A 23,308-nucleotide genomic window follows, 5' to 3' on the forward strand; every position below is an offset into this window, starting at 1 on the left:
CTCTTTGAAGGCTCTGTTTCCAAATACAGTCACATCCTGAGAGGCTGAGGATTAGGGCTTCAACGTACAAATTGGTCGGGGGTGAGCCAAGGCACAATTCAGCCTCTCTTTCACACACACACACACACACGCACACACACACACGCACACACACACACAATTTTTTCTATACATCTTTGCAACTTGATTTTTCTTAAAGTAATTTCAACATGTTTTCATGTGAGAAGAAGACCTGTATCCTTCTGAGGAAGCTGAGGTATTGAATCTTTAGCTTTTTATCCTCCGTAGGAAATGCAGGCCCACTGGGTCATGACCAAGTCTCAGTTAGCAGGGCACATGGGCCTTTCACAGCCTCTCATCCTTCTTTTGATTGCTTTTATTTCTCCATCTTTTCCTCTGACATTTATGTGATATTTTATTTTATTTTATTTTATTTTGAGACAGAGTCTCACTCTGTTGCCCAGGCTGGAGTGCAGTGGCGCCATTTTGGCTCACTGCACCTTCCACCTCCCTGGTTCAAGTGATTCTTCTGCCTCAGCCTCCCAAGTAGCTGGGATCACAGGCGCCCGCCACCACACCCAGTTAATTTTTGTCTTTTTAGTAGAGATGGGGTTTTGCCAATGTTGGCCAGGTCTGGAACTCCTGACCTCGGGTGATCCACCCGCCTCGGCCTCCCAAAGTGCTGGGATTACAGGCATGAGCCACCACGCCCCGCCTGATTTTTCTGTTTTGGAGATGGGGTCTCGTTATGTTGCCCAGTCTGGTCTCAAACTCCTGGCCTCCCAAAGTGCTGGGATTACAGGCGTGTGCCACCATGCCTGGCTAATTTTTGTATTTTTGGTGGAGACAGGGTTTGGCCATGTTGGCCAGTCTGGTCTCAAACTCTTGGCCTCAAGTGATCTGCCCGCCTTGGCCTCCCAAAGTGCTGGGATTACAGGCATGAGCTGCTGCGCAGGGTCTTCATTCAGTTGATTCCTTTCTACATCTTTCCTCTCTTTGGCTTCTAGAGGTCACATGCACTTTCTTTTTTGTGTAAGTGCAAGGCATGTGTTATCTGAAAGTCCCTGCTGTTTTCACAAATGCTTTCTCCACCTGTGGGGGTGGCCATGAGCCTGTGGCTTCAGCTTCTGGGAAAGCTGAGGTGGGAAGATCGCTTAAGGCCAAGAGTTGGATGAATGTTTTCTCCAAGTCTTCTCTTTGACCCTCAGGGTGAATAGTTTCTCCCTGACCGCTCTCCTCCTTGTAGTTGGTATTTGTGAATTTCCTCTACTATCTCCCTCTGGAATTCTGCCCTGGTAGGTCAAGTTTGGTCCTGCAGGCATACCCTCAGCTTTTAGATTCTTCTCATTTTCAGATGAGTCTTTGCAGGTATTGGTGCAGCTAAACACAGGGAAGGTAGTGTGCTGCCCTATGACATTATGATGGCTACAGCTACAACATCACTAGGTGATAGCAATTTTTCAGCTCCATTATACTCTTATGAGACCACTATTGTATATGTATCCATTATTGAACAAAACATTGCTATGTAACACATGACTGTATTCACCTAAATATTCTTCTAGTAAGTACAAAGTGACTCCAATTTTTTTTCCAAATGACTAGCCAACGTTTCCAATGTCGTTTGTTCAACTATCCAAACTTTTCTCAGTTATATGATATATGGAAGAGTATTTATATGTACAGTGTATATAATATAATAAATAATGTATAGATAAAGCTTTTCTAGACTTTTCTTTCAGTCTTATTGATATAGCTCTTCTAGTTATATCTATTTTCAGAATACTAATGTATATCCATAAACATACTACATTATATTATCATACATAATTTTTTTTTGAGATGGAGATTTTCGCTTTTGTTGCCTAGGCTGGAGTGCAATGGTGCGATCTTGGCTCACTGCAACCTCTGCCTCCTGGGTTCAAGCAATTCTCCTGCTTCAGCCTCTCAAGTAGCTGGGATTATAGGAATGCACCACCACGCCCGACTAATTTTGTATTCTTTTTGTAGAGATGGGGTTTCTCCATGTTGGTCAGGCTGGTCTCAAACCTCTGACCTCAGTTGGTCTACCCACCTCAGCCTCCCAAAGTGCTGAGATTACAGGCATGAGCCACCGCGCCCAGCCTCTCATACATAATACATATAAAAATTTACTTTTATACTACTGGTAACTCAAAAGTTGTATGAGTAATATAAAAGTGACCATTTTTCAGCCTGGGCGAAATGGTGAAACCCCCTCTTTACTAAAAATACAAAAATTAGCCGGGCATGGTGGCATGCACCTGTAGTCCCAAGCTACTCAGGAGGCTGAGGCGGGAGGATTGCTTGAGCCCAGGACTTCAAGGCTGCAGGGAGCCATGATCGCGCCACTGCATTCCAACCTGGGTGACAAAGTGAGACCATATATATATACATATTACATATATATATATTTAAATTTTTTTAAAAAGCCTATTTCCCTTTCCTCCTACTGAGACCCCTATGTACAAGGCCTAGTCTTAACGCTGACTTGTCAAAGCACAATGGCTATGCCGCAAATAAGAAAACTGAGACTACCTCTCTTCCTTCAAGGTTAGGCTGCCTAGCAGGGCCCAGGAACCCATGGTGAGTTACAAATTTGTCCGAAGTTATCAAATCTTTATTTTAATGTAAGAAAGGGGGGAAAGTCTTATGTAAATATTATCTCAACAGGTGGCCCTAAAGTTTATCTTTGGGAAGGAGCATTCTTGGTTCTACCAAAAAATACTTTCATAATTCTTCTAGACATATAAGGTTGATTCTCAAGTTGTAAAGCCTGGTTGTGAAGTGTAGAAAGAGAGAAAACAGAAATGAGACAGGAAGAGAGAAAAGGTAGAGAGCAGTGATACAGTAAAATTCCCAATGATGAAACAGCTAAAAGAACTTTTAAGAGGAATCTAGGCTGGGCACAGTGGCTCATGCCTGTAATCCCAGCACTTTGGGAGGCCGAGGTGGGCAGATCACGAGGTCAGGAAATCGAGATCATCCTGGCTAACAGGTGAAACCCCATCTCTACTAAAAATACAAAAATCACCTGGGTGTGGTGGTGCGAGCCTGTAATCCCAGCTACTCAGGAGGCTGAGGCAGGAGAATCGCTTGAACCCGGGAGGCGGAGGTTGCAGTGAGCCGAGATCGCGCCACTGCACTCCAGCCTGCGCAACAGAGTGAGACTCCCTCTCAAAAAAAAAAAAAAAAAAAAAAAAGGAATCTAATATTTAAGCTGAATTCTTAGGGCTTGTATTGTATGGATGTAAATTCCTTCATCTCTCCAAGTTTTCAGCATCATCTCCTCAAATGAAGGCCATGTTGGCTGGGGCAGGTGGGGGCCGTTGAGGAGAATGGGGAAGTAGCTGTGTTCTGTATCTAGGTCCATGGACTGTTGTGCGATGGGTCATGATCTAAACTTACTAGCAGAAACACAATCTTAGAGCAGAAGCAACTGTGAGAAGTTAAGTCCCCCAGACATTTGCAAAAATTTGGAGAGCATTGATTTCTGCAAGTTATAGAATGGGGACTTTATTTTTTATTTCTTTATTTTTTTGAGGCAGAGTCTCACTCTGTCACCCAGGCTGGAGTGCAGCGGCATGATCTCGGCTCACTGCAACCTCCGCCTCCTGGGTTCAAGCAATTCTCCTGCCTCAGCCTCCCGGGTAGCTGGAATTACAGGCGTGCACCACCACACCTGGCTAATCCTTTTGTATTTTTAGTAGAGATGGGGTTTCACCATGTTGGCCAGGCTGGTCTCTAACTCCTGACCTCGAGTGAACCACCTGCCTCGGCCTCCCAAAGTGTTGGGATTACAGGCGTGAGCCACTGCGCCCGGCCAAGGGGACTTTAAATTATACTAAATCTAGTGAGCAGGGTGATCTCAGCTAACACCTTGCAGTTATCTAAAATGTCACTAAATCTGTGTTTGTCTTTCCAAGGAGCTGGCTTCCTTCATATCTTTGAGGAAATGTCTCTCCATATTGTTCAATTCACCTTCCAGAAACTGGTGGGAAGAGACAGAAACTCAGTTTCAAAGCCTCTGCCAGTTCTTCCAATGGTCCTTTTTTAAGCCAAGCAAATTAGATATGATTAAGGCTTTTGTAATCTGTAAAATGTGTTTAATCACAATAGCTTTTTCACAGGATTGTGGTGAAGATTAAACAATTAATATGTATACAGTGCTTTAGGAGTGCCTGGCACAAAAGTAAATTCTATATGCCTTGCCACACAGTAATCTCACCTGGAGAAGCTCTGAAACTACTGATGCCGGGGATCGGGTTGACGGGGGCCCTGACCAATTAAGTCATAAACTCTGGAGTGGGGCTGACATGTCAGCATTTTTCAAAGCCTCCTAGATAATTCTAATGTGCAGTCAGCATTAACAACCACTGCTTTACGGGCTATTATTTTACCAAAATGATACACTAAATGTTGATTTCTTAGGAACAAAACTCTTCACGCAAGTTGTTTGTTAAGAGATTCGATATTCCCGCATTCATCCCCTTAGGGGACCGGAGGTGGCAGGTGCAATTTGCATTTAGATTTTCCGTAAGGAATGTTAATTGCTTAAGCTGTCATAAAAGAGTGGACATTTTATGTTTTCCTGGTGGAAGCGAGAGAAGAGTGAGCACAGTGTGGCTGAACTCTGATCTGTATGTCTCTTTGGGAGGTTCTCCAAACCCAGCAAAGCAAGAGATCCTGCTTACTTGCTGGACTTGTGTGCTGCTAGAAATGCAAGACTGAGTCAGCTAAGAGCAGTGCCAAAAAGTCACCAAGCCACCGCATGTAGCCTGAGATCACGAGGAAACAAAAAGTCTTTCTAAGGTCAAAAAGTTCTGCCTATATTTCCAGATCTTCTTCTTGGTTTCTAAGCAGCCAGCCACCTGCTCTCAGCTTTCACCTAGGACTCAACAATTTCAGGAAGGAAAAAGATTATTCTAGGTCAGAAGGATTCTGGGAAATGTTAAATAACCTTGCCTGTGGAGAGTACCTTTTTTTTGGCCTCTTTCTGACCTTGGCAGACATGTCCATCTTCTGGGAGCCATAGAAGACAGCCCTTCATCTTTTCCTAGTTGGTGCCTTCTTCTAGACCTAAATTCCTGATCTCATGCTGAAACCCAGATTAACAACTTTTTGGGGGGGAGGGGAGTTGTTTGAGATTAGAGCGGTAAAAATTAGCCTGGTCGGGGAGGGGGGATCGGTTTCTAGATTCATTCATTTATGTGTCCATAGTGCCTGCCTGGTGCCAATCTGTAAAGGGCCTATGGAAATATAAGTTATTGAGGTAGAAATATACAGAACATCTCAGGTAGGGGCCAGGGACGGTGGCTCATGCCTGTAATCCCAGTACTTTGGTAGGCTGAGGTAGGAGGACCACTTGAGCCCAAGAACTCAAGACCAGTCTAGACAACATACTGAGACCCTCTCTCTACAAAAAAAAAAAAAAAAAAAATTTAAAAATTAGCCCAGTGTGGTGGCATGCACCTGTAGTCCTAGCTCCTTGGGAGGCTGAGGCAGGAGGACCGCTTGTGGCCAGGAGTTCAAGGCTGCAGTGAGCTATGATTGAGCCACTGTACTCCAGCCTGGGCAACAGAATAAGACCAAAAAAACAAAAACAAAGAAAATCCCCAGAACATCTTGTCTTTATAGATATGTATGAAGGCTACCCTTCAAGGACAAGGGCAAGTTGCACATGCAGTGGTTTGATTAAGGAGTTTAAAGGCAGAACCTGTCTGCTCAATATGGACAAGAATATCCTTGTTTACAGTGCCTATCACAGACCACTGGGCTCCATGTGGAATTCGAGCAAATGCTAGGAAACCACACACTATGCAGACTAAGCATTACACATAAAAGTAGAGTTAGCGCAGGAAGCATGGAAGGAAAAAGTAAGAAGTCTCACTGTGGTCCAGGACAGGTTGAGGACCCTCTCTCCTAGAGAGTGAACGTCCCAGGGCACTGGGGTAAGAGTGAGCCCAGGCTGGCCCAGCTGGCTGTGTGGGAAGGGCAGAAGCTGCCCTGGCCTTTGGCGTCAGCCACGTGCACTTTGTCAGACTGCCATCTGCTGAGCACTTGTTAGCAATTCCCTCTGCTTTTATGTCACACACCTGGAGTCCCCTCACTGTTAGAGATCTTCTGAGCCCCAAAGTGAGGCCCTTATTAGGAAGCAAAAGCGATAGAAACAAGAAGCCCTGGAGCCTGTGACTGAGGACACTACTCTTTTTTTTTTTTTTTTTTTTTTAATGAGACAGAATCTCACTCTGTCACCCAGGCTGGAGTGCGGGGTCGTTATCTAGGCTAACTGCAACCTCCATCTCTCGGGTTCAAGCGATTCTTGTGCCTCAGCCTCCCAAGTAGCTGGGATTACAGGCACACGCCACCACACCTGGCTAATTTTTGTATTTTGAGTAGAGACAGGGTTGCACCATGTTGGCCAGGCTGGTCTCGAACTCCCGACCTCAAGTGATCTCCACCCACCTAGGCCTCCCAAAGTGCTGGGATTACAGGCATGAGCCACTGTGCCCGGCCGACACTACTCTTTTCTTCTCTGAACCTCATTCCTGTATTTTATAAAGGAGCAGAAGGCTCTAGATTTTCTTTCCTCCCATCTACGCACATTTACAGCACCCTCTACCTCCCCCATCATAGCAACTATATAGTGACTGCTTCGTGTGTCTGCCTGACCAGATTGTGAGCTCAACATGAAAGGGGTTGTGTCTGTCTTGTTCATCCTGTGTCCTCAATGGTATGTACACAGATACTCAAAAAAGTATCTGTTGAATGAGAGAGGAAAGGAGAAAGGAAGGAAGTGAGGGAGGGAGGAAGGAAGGAATGGAGAGAAGGAGGGTAAGATATCCCAGCAGGTCACTACAGCCTATTTGTGAGAAAGCTGCTAGGAGCCTTGAAATTCCCTGCAAATGAGGAAGGGAGAAAGCTATTTCTCTCCCATCCCCACGAAGAGAAAATAAACGAGGCAAGCTGCAAATGGCGAAACAAGATGTGGTCTAGATTTCTAACAGAAGACTCTGTACACCTGATAAAGCAAAGCTACTTGTGGGGACCCAAATTTTGTGACATACCAGGCTGGTCCTGGAGGGTGGGTAATAGAACAGGGGGTAGAAGGGTTTTCTTCCAATGGTATCAGAGAGGTCTGAAGCTTTGCAAGAGCCGGAAAATGGAACTTTGTTAAAGCTTTGCAGTTTACACGCATTGTCTTATTGTCAAAAGAACTGCATAGAATAGAGAGGTCACGGGCCAGTCACGGTGGCTCACATCTGTAATCCCAGCAGTTTGGGAGGCCAAGGCAGGTGGATCAGCTGAGGTCAGGAGCTCGAGACCAGCCTGGCCAACATGGCGAGACCCCATTTCTACTAAAAATACCAAAAAAAGAAAATTAGCCAGGCATGGCGGTGTGTGCCTGTAATGCCCCCTAAGTGGGAGGCTGAGGCAGGAGAATTGCTTGAACCCGGAAGGCAGAGGTTGCAGTGAGCTGAGACTGTGCCACTACACTCCAGCCTGGGTGACATGGCGAGACTCCCTCTCAAAAAAAAAAAAAAAAAAGATCACCTGAGGACTGGGGAAGAACAGTGACATTAGCACAGGCTAGGAATAGACCTCATAGCCCCAGAATTCTTCCTCTACCTGGAGTAATTTGGAGGAGACTCTAATGTGTGCCCTTAACTCATGTGGCCTCAGAGAACAAGGTGAAGGGAAAGCTGGTGGACTTGAAAGCTCAGGGGGTCTGGGTCATGACAAAAAGCTCTGAGTGTAAACTGGGCTCTTGATTTTTCTAAAAAAAAAAAAAAATTGAATACTGAGAGATAGATATTTCTCATTAGATTATTTTTTACGGTAACCCTGACTTCATGCTCAAAGCATGGAATCACGGAATCACAGGCCTTGCCCACCAGCCCATCTCAACTTCTGTAGAGAGTCTCCCTAACCCCTGACTTTCTATAACTCCAACATCAATAGCAGCTGTCATTTTATTCAGCTTCTTTCTGCCCACAAAGCCAGGACTAGGGGGAGGCAAGTGATGCCTCCCTTGGGTGCAAAATTCGAAAGGTGCCAAAAACCTCAGTAATCATCATAAAGAACATTTCTAAAATTCAAAATTAATGCAATAAAAATCCATGGTGAATAAAATATCTTTTTTTTTTTTTTTTTTTGAGACGGAGTCTTACTCTGTCGCCCAGGCTGGAGTGCAGTGGCACAATCTTGGCTCACTGCAACCTCTGCCTCCTGGGTTGGAGCAATTCTCCTGCCTCAGCCTCTCAAGTAGCTGGGATTACAGGTGTGCACCACCACGCCCAGCTAATTTTTGTATTTTTAGTAGAGATGGGGTTTCGCCATGTTGGCCAGGCTGGTCTTGAACTCCTGACCTCAGGTGATCCAACCACCTCAGCCTCCCCGAGTGTTGGGATTACAGGTGTGAGCCACCACGCCTGGCCCAAAATTTTAAATAAAGACACAATCTAACTTTGCTCCAGCTCCACCTTGAGAGCCAGTCCCATCTCAGCTCTGACGAAACTCATTCTCATTTTAGGGCCTTTATCCTTGCTGTCCTCTCTGGAATATTCCTCTCAGTTCCCTACATACTTGGCTCCTCATTGTTTAGGTTTCTGTTCTAACATTATCCTCTCAGGAAAGCCTTCTCTTATCTGACTTCACTATCTAAAATTCCCCACTCCCCACCCTCCCTACCCCTGTACAGGTCCTCCCTATTCTACTAATGCTTTGTGGTTTCAGAGCACTTACAACTATAATAATATTCTGTTACTTGTTTATGTCTCTGCTGATATCTCTCCAGTGTTCAACACATAGTATGTGCTCAAAAAATATTACTTGCGCAAATGAAGGGAATGAGTGAAGCACCTATTAGAGATGGTGCTCAGGGCTTTACATGTATTATCTCATTTAATCCTCTCAATAATCCCCTGAGAGAGATTCAATCACCACAGTTTTAAAGTGAGTAATCTGAGGTTTAGAGAGGTTAAGAGACATCTTCAAGGTCACATAGCTAGTAAACGAGGGAAGGCTAAACTCATCCAGAATCCTGTTTCTTTCCGCCACCTCTCCTGTTGCCAGGCAGGTGCAAGCCTCATCAACTCCCTCTCGAATGACTGCAGTGGCCTCCTGGTCAGTGTCCTGGCCTGCATCCTTGGCCCCCAGCAGTCCTTCTGCAACACAACAACTGTTTAAATGTTTTATTTTATTTTATTTTATTTTATTTTATTTTATTTTATTTTTATTATTTTTAGACAGAGTTTCACTCTTATTGTCCAGGCTGCAGTGTAATGGCATGATCTCGGCTCACTGCAACCTCCGCCTCCTGGGTTCAAGCGATTGTCCTTCCTCAGCCTCCTGAGCCCCGCCTGTTTAAAGGTTTTCAATTGTAAGTCAGCGCACCTCTCCCCTCAGCTTAACTCTCTTCAGTGCTGGCTGGGTGTGGTGGCTCACGCCTGTAATCCCAGCACTTTGGGAGGCCGAGGTGGGTGTATCACTTGAGCTCAGGAGTTTGAGACCGGCCTGGCCAATATGGTGAAACTCCGTCTCTACTAAAAATACAAAAATTAGCTAGGCATGGTGGCAGGCACCTGTAATCCCAGCTACTCAGGAGGCTGAGGCAGGAGAATCACTTGAACCCGGGAGGTGGAGGTTGCAGTGAGCCAAGTTGCACCACTGCACTCCAGCCTGGGTGACAGAGCAAGACTCTGTCTCAAAAAAATAAAAAAAGAAATCTCTCCAGTGCTGTCCCTTGCTCTCAGACCATAAGCCAGAAAAACCTCCTGGTTACTATGTGATCCATTCCCCATGACCTGTCACTCGCTCACTCTGCTCAGCCACTCTGGCCTCCTTGCCATTCCTTGAACACACAGGGCATACTTCCACCTTGCTTGTCTCCCATTCTCAGACTGCTGTCCCTCAGGCAGCCACATGGCTCACTTGCTCACCTTCCAGCTTTTGTTGAAATGCTGTCATCTCTATAAATCCTGCCTTGAACTTAGCCAAGGACGGTGGCTCATACCTACAATCCCAGCACTTTGGAAGGCCAAGGCGGGAGGATTGCTTGAGGCCAGGAATTCAAGACCAGCCTGGGCAACATAGTTGGACCCAGTCTCTACAAATAATAATAATAATAATGATAATAATAATAAATACATACATACATAAAAATAGTTGGGCGCGGTGGCTTTAGCCCAGGAGTTTGAGACTGCAATGAGCCCTGATCGTGCCACTGCCCTCCAGCCTGGGTGACACAGTGAGACCCTGTCTCTAAAAATAAATAAATAAAATAAAAATAAAAACTAGAACCCAGCCTCGTACTACTGCTCCATCACACCAGCCTTTCCTCCTATATAGCATTTAGCTATCCCCTTCTAAGATATCTTGTCATTTGGCTTATTAATACTATTTGGTTTACTGACTGTCTTCCACCCACTCAAATGCAAGTTCCATTAGGGCAGAGATCCTATCTGTTTTGTTTGCTGGTGTGTCCTGCCACTACACAAATGCTCAATCAATATTTTCTGAGTGAATGAATAAGATAATCCTTGGAGCAAGGATTTGAAACCAGGTGAACATCCTTCAAATCTCATGCTCTTAACTAAATCAGGAAGCGTGTCTCTAAGGATGAGCGAGGCAGGGCTGTGTGGCTCAGAACTGCCTCTGGACCCCTATCTGTCCTGTCATCCCCAATCTTGAAGGCCCAGCACTGCACAGCTGGCCTTTTGCTTGAAGGCATCTAACTTCATTGCATTTACTTCCCAGGCCTCTGTCCTTTCACCCTTGGTTTTCTTATCTCTCTCGTCCAAGGGCAGATTTAACTCTTTTATCTCTAACGCTACCTCTGCCTCCTTCACAGAGCCATTGTTGTGAAAACAGTGAAGTCTCAACCCTTTCCTCTATAAAAGCCCTGCCAACTGCATGCCAAGGAGGCTGTGCTAGGATATGTGCAAGGAGGGGACCGTGCTTGCCAGGCAGCCTGAGGCTGGGGCTGATTCCTCCCCACCTGTCCTGCCTGTAGCCACGTAGAGTATAACTCAACTCATCTGTCTTCCACTTTCTTTACCCAACACCATTTGTGTGACTTTGAGGCTATGAACTGTCCAACTATCCAATCAGGTTTCATGAGAAAGCAGCAGCTCTGGAAAACAGATTCTACTTGTGCTTGGCATAATGCTCTCTTTGGCTTTGTATAAAAGGGGCTATGCGGCCAGCTGGAATGCAGTGGCTCAATCTTGGCTCACTGCGACCTTCACCTCCTGGATTCAAGCGATTCTCCTGCCTCAGCCTCCCAAGCAATTTTTGTATGTTTTGTACAGACGATCTTTCACCATGTCGGTCAGGCTGGTCTCGAACCTGAGACCTTAACCACTTGCCTCGGCCTCCCAAAGTGCTGGGTTTACAGGCGTGAGCCACCCACCACGTCCAGTGCCCCCAGTTCTTTCATCTTCTCCTTTCCCCTCTCTTCCCTTTCTTTTCTCATCCTCCCCCTCCTTTCCACTCCTCCCTAAGTCCATGGATTACTGGAATTGTGAAGCTGCTTTAGAGTTTTGGTAAAAAATGATGTTCACGCAATGCTTAAGGGTGTTACTATCTCAGTGGAAGGACTTGACATGTTTTAGAAATGAGCTCCAGAGACCTTGCACTGTTTTTTGTTTGTTTGTTTGTTTGCTTTTTGAGACAGAGTCTCGCTCTGTAGCCCAGGCTGGAGTGCAGTGGCGTAATCCCGACTCACTGCAACCTCTGCCTCCTGGGTTCAAGCGGTTCTCCTGCCTCAGCCTCCTGAGTAGCTAGGACTACAGGCGCCTGCCACCATGCCCGGATAATTTTTGTAGTTTTAGTAGAGATGGGGTTTCACCATGTTGGCCAGGCTGGTCTCGAACACGTGACCTCAAATGATCCACTCGCCTTGGCCTCCCAAAGTGCTAAGATTACAGGCATGAGCCACCGTGCCTCGCCTGAACTCAGTTTTGATATTGCTGAGAGAGTGTAAAATGTGTTTAATTTGATTTGTATAACCGAAGTCCCAGAGAGGTATTGATTGATTGTATCAATTTTTGTACTTTTTGTCAATTAATTAACTTGTTAATCTTTTTGTTAATTAAAAGATTTAGAGATTTCATATTATAATCTGTGAATTTCTGACTTCTCTGGAAAAAAATATCAGAAGATCTGGCAATTAGGGTTCATGCTTGCAAGGACAGGTGTGCTTCTGATGGCCTCAGTCCACATGGGTTTTCTCCTGCTCTGAAAATTAGGGTTGGTTTTTCTTCACTCGCACTCATATACACCACCTGCCTGGCCCCCAAGGCACTTGAATCTGTGTCCCTTTGAAAGGTGACACTCAAAGATGATCATCCCTGGAGGTACAAAAGTTTAACAACGGGATGTTACTCAGAGATTGCAAAGTGTCCACCTGGGGTGAGGGAACTGTCACCTGCCTTCATTTCATCTTTATATCCACTGTAGGATGTAGATGCTAAGAAGAGCTTGGGGTCAGGAGTGGGCTGGTTCATCTTGGTCTTAACTTTCTGCTGGGGTCTAGAAAGGATAGGTTTGGTTCCTTTCTATGCTTAAGAGCAGATGTCCTGCCAACGCTTTACCATTTAATGTGAGACCGACCATATATGGAAAGTGCCTGCCTTGGTGGCTGGCACAGTCACAGTAAGCACTCAATACACACTTGATGACAAGGATTATTGTTGTTGTTACCATCATTAACCCTTGATTTCCTGCCACTCAACCAGCTCCCAGCAAGATAGATTTCCAAAACCCTTGCCTTTCTCTCATCCTGACCCATTAGTGGCCACCTCCCTTGCCCTCCTCCTCCCAACCCCTTCCTAATGTCTGGACCCATTCGTTTGCAGCCCTGAGCTCACTCCTTAACAAATGACACTGCCCCTTTGGCCCTGACTTCTGGCTTCCCCTCCTCTACCAGGACTAGCACATCCACCCCTGGCTGCACTGCTTCTGGCTGTGCAGGGCAACCACTCAGACTGTCTATTCTTGCCTTTGCCCTAAAATGTGGGCTCTTGTAGGCACTGTCTTCAGCTCCTACATGGGATGAGGACTTCAGAGCGCAGAAGTCGACAGGCTCCCATGATTGTGTCAAGGCAAGAGTCAAGACCCACTGGAGGGCAGGGACCATGTCTGCATCTGTCTTTTTCACTGCTGCATCCTCACGGCTCAGGACACTCCCTGGTACAAAGCAGATGCTTAATAAATACTCATTGGATGGACAAATGAATGGATGGACAGATGAATGAATGAATGAATGAATACACAAATGAATCAGATCAGAGATCAGAGAGGAAAAAACTGCTTACGTTTTTAACACGTAGATGTGTTGCTTTTTGTGATCTTTTCTACTTCTCTTTAGTGAGTAGCAATAAAATCAGTAAGGAGAAGAGGGTCTGTGTGTTGGTTTTCTGGAGGAGGAAGATGGGAAGATTTCCCTCTGCCCTGTGATCAGGCTCTGAATGGGGAGAGTTGTCCCAGGACACAGAGCAAGTGGTGATAGCATGTGATGGAGGGAGGAAAGGAACACCTGCAGCATAGGGAGGAAAGGAACATAGAGCTGGCTGGAGACTGAGAAACCACTACTTGTTCTATGTCCTGAGAGAGAGGGGGGTTGAGCAGGAGAAAGGGCTGCTGGGGTTTTCCACCTGCAGGCACCACGGCTGAAAGGCCTCCTGCCCAGGTCCTACCTCTGACTCAGTACCGACCTTAGGTAAGGCCCTTTCCCCATTTATGGCCAAGTCAGAAGATGTGGCCCAGTCTGAGGTTATCAAAAGGCAGAAGCCTCATGAATACACCTGGTTATTAGCTCTGGCAGTGTAAAACCAACAGCAGCACCAACCACATGGTGTGAGCTTCCTCCTCCACTTCTCTGTTCAGTTTCTCTTCCTGCCTGTTTTCTCTGCTGGGTGGGCAGTTCAGAAGGCTTGGGCCTACCATGCCCCAAACAGAAGAGGCTGCTTTCCTTCCCTTCTGAGCAGCCACAGCAGTGTGAACCCAGATGTGTATCTGTCACCTTTTCCTCACTCCCATCCCGAGCCCATGTGTCCCATGAAAATGAGCCATGAACCCCCCTTTGGACGGTGGGAAACTTGATGACAGGTCCAGGTCCCCGATTTGCAAAACAAATTGCCTCTTCTCTTTCTTCCAGCCCATGCGTCTCTCTTTGGGCAAAAGTTAATTCTCACCAACCTCTATCAACCTCCTCGGGTTGACTTCGCTATGCTTTTTCTGGAAATTTGTGCTTCCCCATTTCTTAGAGCACAGCAAACTTGGGGTGCCCTGAAGGCTGAGACAGGGGCAGGGTGTGAGCAGCACTGGGCCTCTAAGGATGCTCCTCCTTGTACATTCCTGCCACATTGTGGGGACACAATCCCCATCAGCGTGATGATGTCATAATTGGGGTGGGCGAGATAGGGAAGTTCATTGCCTGTTGCATCCTTCCTGGCACCATCTTGGGACTCTTCCCACTCATTTGCTACTCAGGATCCAGGGTTTTCCCAGACCAAGACACAGAGGATCAGATGTTCAGCCATACCTACTCCCTTGTGGAGGTGCCAATCATAACTAAGGTGTACTGAGCATTGACCTTGTTTAACCAGACATTGTTGTATCAAACACTTTATCTTCATTAACTCGTTTGATGCTCATAACAATCCTACAAGGCTTGTCACATTATTCTTTTCACCTTTAAAATGAAAAAAAAAAAAAAAAAAAAACAAGCTTAGGAAGGTAATTTGCCCAAAGTTACCCAGCCACTAAGTGGTAGAGGCCCCACACACCCCTCCCACCATGACCACATCTTCTTTTTTTTTTTTTTTTTTTTTTTACAGAGTGATAGAGTCTCACTCTCACTCTGTCACCCAGGCTGGAGAGCAGTGGTGTGATCTCGGCTCACTGCAACCTCTGCTTCCCAGGTTCAAGTGATTCTCCTGCCTTGGCCTCCTGAGTAGCTGAGATTACAGGCATGCACAACCACGCCTGGCTAATTTTTGTATTTTTAGTAGAGACAGGGTTTCACCATGTTGGCCAGGCTGGTCTCGAACTCCCGACGTCAGGTGATCCACCCACCTCGGCCTCCCAAAGTGCTGGGATTACAGGTGCGAGCCACCGTGCCCAGCCAGCCACATCCTCTTATAAAGTGGAGGGGTGGAGGAAGGAAGGAGGTCTCTACAAGGGTTTCCTTTTGGGTCTAACGATTAGTGAGCCCTCTCTAGGGAAGGAAAACCAACATCTGTGCAGAACTTCAGGCTGGTGAGGAAGATGTTGATCCCAATTAGAATCTGGCATCTGGCACTTGCAATAAATACCAGGGCACCTGCTTGTGTCCGCAGAATCACCCCAGCCTTTGTGCCAGAAAGAAAACACTCTTCACTGGATCCTCAAAGGAGTCCAGTCTCTGGCCCAGCTCTCAGGGAGCTCATGGTCTGGTGGAGGTAATGAACTCCTCTCCCTCACTCCACGTCTCCCTAATTCACACCTCCTTCCTCTGAAAAGACTCCCTTCCAGGCCTTGACTAAAAGGGTCCCTGTCCTGAAGAACAACCACTGAGCTACAGACTCAAGGAACAAGTCCTCATGATCCATCAGTCCCCTGTCCCCCCGTCAGCCTTGATACCATATGACCTCAACCACTCTGCCTCCAGGGAACTCACAGGTCACCTGAAACTGATACCACCTGGCTGAACTCCGCCCTCCAGTTTATGTGCCTGTATGAAGTCTGATTTGACTGCAACAAGCCTTTTGACTAAAATTGGGATGTATATGTGTGCAGACTGCACATATCAATTCTCGGAAGTTTTTTTTTTTTTTTCTCTCGGCTGGGCGAGGTGGCTTATACCCGTAATCCCAGCACTTTGGGAGACTGAGGTGGGTGGATCACTTGAGGTCAGGAGTTCAAGACCAGCCTGGTCAACATGATGAAACCCCATCTCTACTAAAATACAAAAATGAGCTGGGTGTGGTGGCGGGTGCCTGTAATCCCAGCTACTCGGGAGGCTGAAGCAGGAGAATCGCTTGAACCTGGGAAGCAGAGGTTGCAATGAGCCGAGATCGCACCAATGCACTCCAGCCTGGGCAACAGAGTGAGACTCCATCTCAAAAAAAAAAAAAAAAGAAGTTTTTTTCTTGTGGCAGAGCAAGAGTGGAAAATATTGTGTATTTTAAAAGTCAGCTTTATTCCCCGTTTTAAAATCCTGAGACCTAAACTTTTGTTCCTACGCAGTCAAACCTTTAACCTCCACTTCCTGTGTTCTTTAGCCTTCTTCAATAGAAAAGCTGCTAGCGAATTGCCCCCATGCACTACACACAGGTTTATTTTTTCTATGTAAAGTATGTCCTTGTGGTTTGAGATGCCTTATGAAGATGGAACTGACTGACCTCACTGATGGCCTGAATGTGGAGAGTGAGAGAAAGGGAGGAATCAGGAATGATACTGAGATTTTTGGCCTGAGCTTATGGATATAAAAAGGATTAATGGAAGGGAGTTTCCAGTAAGCAACTCACAATTCCACTTCCTGAAAAAGGAGTACTCTATCCAAGAAATTATAAGCGGGAAACTTGGGAAGGATTCCCCATCTCCTTAATATGGAGGAGAGGTCAGGAGGCAGGGGCAGGCTGTGAGACTCTTGGGACCCGCTGTGCTTGTGTCACTTTTTTTTTTTTTTTTTTTTGATACGGAGTCTGGCTCTGTTGCAGAGGCTGGAGTGCAGTGGCGCGATCTCGGCTCATTGCAACCTCCACCTCCCGGGTTCAAGTGATTCTCCTGCCTCAACCTCCCAAGTAGCTGGGACTACAGGCACCTGCCACCACACCAAGCTAATTTTTCTTATATTTTTGGTAGAGATGGGGCTTCACTATGTTGGCCAGGCTGGTCTCAAACTCCTGACCTCAGGAGATCCGCCTGCCTTGGCCTCCCAAAGTGTTGGGATTACAGGCATGAGCCGCGGCGCCCGGCCTTCTGTCACCTTTTGCTAATGCAGATCAATAGCGGTCAGGAGCAGTTTCCGTGGTAGGAAAAGATTCTGGGGTGCAGAGGAGGCAGAGGCCCCCGGAAGGAAGCTGCACACCACCACACCATGTGCTTTGAGGGGCAGTTAAGCCAAAACTGGCCTCTGACGTGGTTGTTTTACCAAATGCAGAAAAGAGACCACAAAGAGCAAAGTCTCCTAATTAGGACTGCTCTTGGTCCAGCTCCTTGCAGTCTGCCATGCCAGTCAGGTCATGGGGGTTAAAGGTTTCCTCTTTAAGGAAATACCTGAAGTACAGGAATAATGCTAATGACAAAAATGCCAGGCAAAGATGAGGTGGTAGGGGAGCTATGTGGGGGCAATGGGAACCTTCTATTGGGTTCTTCAAGTTAGACCACAGAGCTCCCCCTTCTGAACACCTGAACATGGGCAGTTTTTAGAAACCAGCATAACTGATGTGAGTTTTACTGCACTGTACTCAGGTTAAAAAATGTCACATTTATTTCTACAAGTAAGAGAAATGTAGCCAGGTGTGGTGGCTCACGCCTGTAATCCCAGCACTTTGGGAAGCCGAGGCAGGTGGGTCACTTGAAGTCAGGCGTTCAAGACCAGCCTGCCCAACACGGTGAAACCCTGTCTCTACTAAAAATACAAAAATTAGCCAGCGGACACCTGTAATCCCAGCGACTCGAGAGGCTGAGGCAAGATAATCGCTTGAACCGGGGAGGTGGAGGTTGCAGTGAGCCAAGATTGTGCCCCTGCACTCCAGCCTGGGCGACAGAGAGACTGTCTCAAAAAAAAGAGAGAGAAATTTGCACAGAGCCCTCACCCACTTGGTGAGTGGAATATTCCATCTCAGTCATAATTCTGTTGTCCTGTCTTTCTTTTCCTTTTTTTTTTTTTTTAGATGGAGTTTCACTCTTTTTGCCCAGACTGGAGTGCAATGGCACGATCTAGGCTCACTGGCAACCTCTGCCTCCCGGGCTCAAGTGATTCTCCTGCCTCAGCCTGCTGAGTAGCTGGGATTACAGGCATGTACTACCATGCCTGGCTAATTTTTTATATTTTTAGTAGAGACAGGGTTTTGCCATGTTGGCCAGGCTGGTCTCGAACTCCTGACCTCAAGTGATCAGCCCACCTTGGCCTCCCAAAGTGCTGGGATTACAGGCGTAAGCCACTGCACCTGGCCAATGATGAATCGTTTAGCTATAGAGACTCAAGGCCCTTCACAACGGAAGGCATGGCAGAAGCTCTCACCCACATTGCACGTGAAAGAGGCCCTGCTCAGAATGGCCTCTCCCTGCTCCTTCACAAACCTAGCGTCACCCTTCTAGCTTCTGAAGAGAAGGCCAGAAACCCTCAGGAATATTCATGCAGTTCTGGCCCCAGAATGGCTCATGCCAAACTTTAGTATGCTTGAGAGACGGCAATTCTAACCAGGCCACTGAACGCTCAACCACAAGAGAGGTGAACTCTCCACCGCCATCATCCATCACTCCTCTCTTTACCTCCATCCTCTTTCTACTCTGCGCCCCTACCTGCCCTCAGTCTGGACCTAAGACTTCTTAGGCTCTTCAGTAAGCCCTGGAGATCTCTCGTTTAGCAAAAAGACTGACCCCAGCCTTGGGTTGACTAGGTCCCCAGTTCAGGCAGCTGAGTGACACAAGATCATGAAGGAAGGGCCATCTGGCTCAGGCCTGCTTTCCCGTTGCCACCAACTGTCCCTGACATTTCACAGTTCCCATTTGGCAGCCACCAGTACCAAACGAATGTGAGAAAAAGAAGCCCCTGGTCCACACAAAACCCACAGTAGCTTATTTTCAGGCCACAGCTGAGGCCTGTTAAGCCTAAGTGGCAAAACCTGCCATGTCTCATATCCTTATTTTTATTTTATTTATTTATTTATTTTTTTTGAGACAGAGTTTCGCTTGCCCAGGCTGGAGTGCAATGGCACAATCTTGGCTCACCGCAACCTCTGCCTCCCAGGTTCAAGCGATTCTCCTGCCTCAACCCCCCGAATAGCTAGGACTACAGGCATGCGCCAGCCCGCCAGGCTAATTTTGTATTTTTTAGTAGAGACAGGGTTTCTCTATGTTGGTCAGGCTGTTCTGGAACTCCCTACCTCAGGTGATCTGCCCACCTCGGCCTCCCAAAGTGCTGGGATTACAGGCGTGAGCCACCGCGCCTGGCCTCATATCCTTATTTTTATCTCTCCTTTTCCATTGCTGCCAGCCAATATGGCCTAGAAGATTTTTTGCTTTGGGGAATGTATGATCATATTTTTCTGGCCAAATAATTGGTGTCTTTAATATTTCATGGGCAAGGGATTCCAATTAATAAAGCAGATTGAATGCATAAATGTATTGCTCTTCTTTAAAAAAAAAACACTAAAATGATGTTAAGGAAAGTTTTTCAAAAGGCATAAACCAACAAAGAAAATTGAAGAGAAAATTATAGTAGATTCAGATGATAGTAATATTTTTTAAAATTGAAAGCAGATAGAAGAGGGGTAACTGACCTAGAAGATAAAAGAAGGAAGAAACTGACCAGGTGCGGTGGCTCACGCCTGTAATCCCCGCACTTTGGGAGGCCAAGGCGGGAGGATCACAAGGTCAGGAGTTCGAGACCAGCTCGGCCAACATGGTGAAACCCAGTCTCCACTAAAAATACAAAAATTAGCTGGGCGTGGTGGTGCATGCCTGTAGTCCCAGCTACTCAGGAGGCTGAGGCAGGAGAATCGCTTGAACCAGGGAGGTAGAGGCTGCAGTCAGCCGGTATTCCTCCACTGCACTCCAGCCTGGCGACAGAGCAAGACTCCATCTCAAAAAAAAGAAAAAATTTCAGTTAGACTAGATGAATACATTCTACAGAGCTATTGTATAGCATGGTGACTAAAGTTAATAATAATGTATTGTTTACTTGAAAATTGCTAAGAGTAATTTTTTTTTTTTTTTTGAGATGGAGTCTCGCTCTGTTGCCAGGCTGGAGTGCAGTGGCGTGATCTTGGCTCACTGAAATCTCCGCCACCCAGGTTCAAGCGATTCTCTTCCTTCAGCCTCCTGAGTAGCTGGGATTATAGGCATCCGCCACCATGCCCGGCTAATTTTTGTATTTTTAGTAGAGATGGGTTTTCACCATGTTGGCCAAGCTGGTCTCGAACTCCTGACCTCATGATCTGCCCACCTTGGCCTCTCAAAGTGCTGGGATTACAGGTGTGAGCCACTGCGAATGGCCAATTTTTTAAATTCTCATACAAAAAATAAGTATGTGAAGTGATGGATATGTCAACTAGATGGACTTAATCAGTTCACAATATATACACATATCAAAACATCAAGTTGTACACCATAAATATATGCAAGTTTTATTTGTCAATTTTACCTTTAATAAAGCTTTGGGGAGAGGGAGAATAGAAAGGAAAACAAATAAGAGAAATGTTCCTTCCTGCTAAATGTGTTAAATACTGTTTCCGTAGAAGGAAACACATTACTTGTATTTCCCTTAAGATTGTGAGGGAGTTGTGTATACAGAATGAGCCCACATTTTCTCACTAGTAAATAGGCCTGTGATAAATTATTTCACTAGCTTTAAAATATTTTGTCCAGATTTTGGTAGGAAGCTGGTTTCTGATAACCTCTTTTAGTACTGGCAGTAAATGCTACATTATAAATTAATGTTGATATGAATTTACAAATAGGTAGAGTATTGGGTACACATTTTAATGCTAAGTTTAAACTGAATGTCTGTGTAATGGATTTTTTAAAAATAGATTTGGAAGTTTTTTGGTTTTTTGTTCTGTTTTGTTTTGAGACAAGGTCTCACTCTGTCCCCCAGGCTGGAGTGGGTGACAGAATAGTTGCTGCAGCCTTGATCTCTCAGGCTCAGGTGATGCTCCCACCTCAGTCTCTTGGTTAGGTGAGACTACAGGTGTGCACTGCCTCGCCTGGGTAATTTTTTGTATTTTTTGTAGAGACAGCATTTCGCCATGTTGCCCAGGCTGGTCTCAAACTCCTGGGCTCAAGTGATCCACCCGCCTCAACCTTACAAAATGCTGGAATTACAGGCATGAGCCACCATGCCCGGCCTGGAAGTATTTTTAAACAGGTTTTTAACCTTACATAAAATTACTTTTATACTTCTGTTAATGTTTCATCTGTGCCTTTGGGTAATTTATTTTTTATTATTAATTTCTAATGCCCCAAAGCTAGCTATCACCTGAAAGGTGCCTTTAGGTGAATATACTGTTTCCAAAAATGCATCAGTGACACTTTCCTATCCTCATACTTTCAATATTGCCTCTTCTCTGTTCTTTTTGGATGTAACTTCAATGATTGTGTTATTCATGAAGATTTTAAAATTTCAACACCTCCAACACTCCTTGGCTGTGTTCACAGCTTCTAACTTTATAGCTGTAGGTATTTTTGAATGCCAGATGTCTGGCCTGTTTGATGTAAATAAAATTTATTTATAAGATATTAAGGGCAAATAAATAATAGAACTTTAAATTTTAATCTATTTGTCTTTTAATAGGATAATTTTACCCATTTACATTTATTGTCAGAATTGATTAATTTGACCTCTGGTCTTTACTTTTATGTTTTGAATTTTTTCTTATGCTTTGTTTTTTTCCTTTTGTTTTCTATTTTCTGCTATTTAGCTTAAAGTTTTATTACTTAGACCTTTAGTAGTGTTTGGAAAATAAATGTTTCTAACTCTATTAGTACTTGTCTTTATTTCTTTGCATAATAAGAAAAAGGTTTTTAAAATTTTGACTAGCCTACCTTTTTTTCCCTTCACTGTTCAGTATTGGTTACTGAGCAACTAGTGTGTGTAAGACATGGAGTACTCAATGGTAAAGAAAAGAGACAATCTCTTCCCTCATAAAGCCTACAGGTTAGCAGAGAAGATAATGACAGAAAAAGAATAAAATAGTGCAAGTATAGGTTTTTTCGTTTGTTTGGTTGGTTTGGTTTTTTTTTTTTTTTTTTGGACGGAGTCTCACTCTGTAGCCAGGCTGGAGTGCAGTGGCGCCATTTTGGCTTACTGCAACCTCCGACTCCCAGTTTCAAGCGATTCTCCTGCCTCAGCCTCCCGAGTAGCTGAGATTACAAGGGCGTGCCACCAGCCTGGTTAATTTTTGTATTTTTAGTAGAGACGGGGTTTCACCGTCTTGGCCAGGATGGTATCAATCTCCAGACCTCGTGATCTCCCGCCTTGGCCTCCCAAAGTGCTGGGATTACAGGCGTGAGCCACCATGCCCAGCCGCAAGTATAGGTTTTACACTCAGGTTATTTTTGTACACATTTGGCATACTATCAATTTTTTTTTTCCCCTGGAAATGGAGTCTCGCTCTATTCCCCAGGCTGGGGTGCAGTGGCACAATCGCGATCTTGGCTCTCTGCAACCTCCGCCTCCCAGATTCAAGAGATTCTCCTGCCTCAGCCTCCCAAATAGGATTAAAGGCATGTGCCACCATGCCTGGCTAATTTTTGTATTTTTAGTAGAGACGGGGTTTCACCATGTGGCCAAGCTGGTCTCGACCTCCTGACCTCAGGTGATCCACCTGCCTCGGCCTCCCAAAGTGCTGGAATTACACGCGTGAGCCACTGTGCCTGGCCCATACTACCAACTTCAGTAATAATCTTTGATTTTTGCAGTCACTTTAGAACTACATTTCCAGTTATTGTATATAATAAGTAAGTGAGTTTCAGTGCTGCCATGATATTCCCATTCCTGAGTTCTTTCTCTAGCTCACCTAGGCTATTATACGTCTTTCAGGGAGCTGGGTAAAGGCATTCTTCAATGGGCCTTTCAAGAGCCAGATAGCAAGGCAGAACACCTCAGTACTATGCAAAACTGACACGTTGATGATTCACCACCAACAGGAGAACATGACACATGGAACAAGGCTGTGGTTTAAAAATATGAAACTTTTGCCAGGTTAGAGAGAGCACTGCTAGGTTTTAAAAGAGACATGTTTCTAAGACTGATTAGAGGTGTTTTTTAATATAGCTCTGCAGAAAACTCTAGGGAAAATTATAGAGTGGCTGAATAAGGATGATTTCTGCATTCCCATATTCCTGGATATAAATATTACTATTACTGAGAGGTGTTACAAAAATTCCATCTTGATTTCTAATATCAACCAACTGGAAACTAGAAAAGACTTCACACCTCCCCCCACCAAATTAAAATACTATTGCAAATTATTTATAAAATACAACTTATAAATATTAATGGAATACTGTCATTTAATAATGCTTTTATTACAAAACAGAATAACAAAAATGTTTAACATTTAATGACAAGGAT

The 23,308-nt window shown here is 45.3% G+C and overlaps 4 annotated features.

Moving 5' to 3' along the window:
• Positions 4,505–4,735: a silencer, noted in NCBI's record as "fragment chr9:114736633-114736863 (GRCh37/hg19 assembly coordinates)". NCBI's record gives its function as "represses an EF-1alpha promoter that drives an FKBP-Casp9 reporter gene in an ReSE screen in K562 erythroleukemia cells {active_cell/tissue: K562}" and the evidence as "EXISTENCE:reporter gene assay evidence [ECO:0000049][PMID:32094911]".
• Positions 13,631–13,690: an enhancer, noted in NCBI's record as "active region_28803". NCBI's record gives its function as "activates an Ori minimal core promoter by ATAC-STARR-seq in GM12878 lymphoblastoid cells {active_cell/tissue: GM12878}" and the evidence as "EXISTENCE:reporter gene assay evidence [ECO:0000049][PMID:35858748]".
• Positions 13,991–14,090: an enhancer, noted in NCBI's record as "active region_28804". NCBI's record gives its function as "activates an Ori minimal core promoter by ATAC-STARR-seq in GM12878 lymphoblastoid cells {active_cell/tissue: GM12878}" and the evidence as "EXISTENCE:reporter gene assay evidence [ECO:0000049][PMID:35858748]".
• Positions 15,421–15,770: an enhancer, noted in NCBI's record as "active region_28805". NCBI's record gives its function as "activates an Ori minimal core promoter by ATAC-STARR-seq in GM12878 lymphoblastoid cells {active_cell/tissue: GM12878}" and the evidence as "EXISTENCE:reporter gene assay evidence [ECO:0000049][PMID:35858748]".

This window comes from Homo sapiens, chromosome 9, assembly GCF_000001405.40.
Source record: "Homo sapiens chromosome 9, GRCh38.p14 Primary Assembly".
NCBI classification, from domain to species: domain Eukaryota; kingdom Metazoa; phylum Chordata; class Mammalia; order Primates; family Hominidae; genus Homo; species Homo sapiens.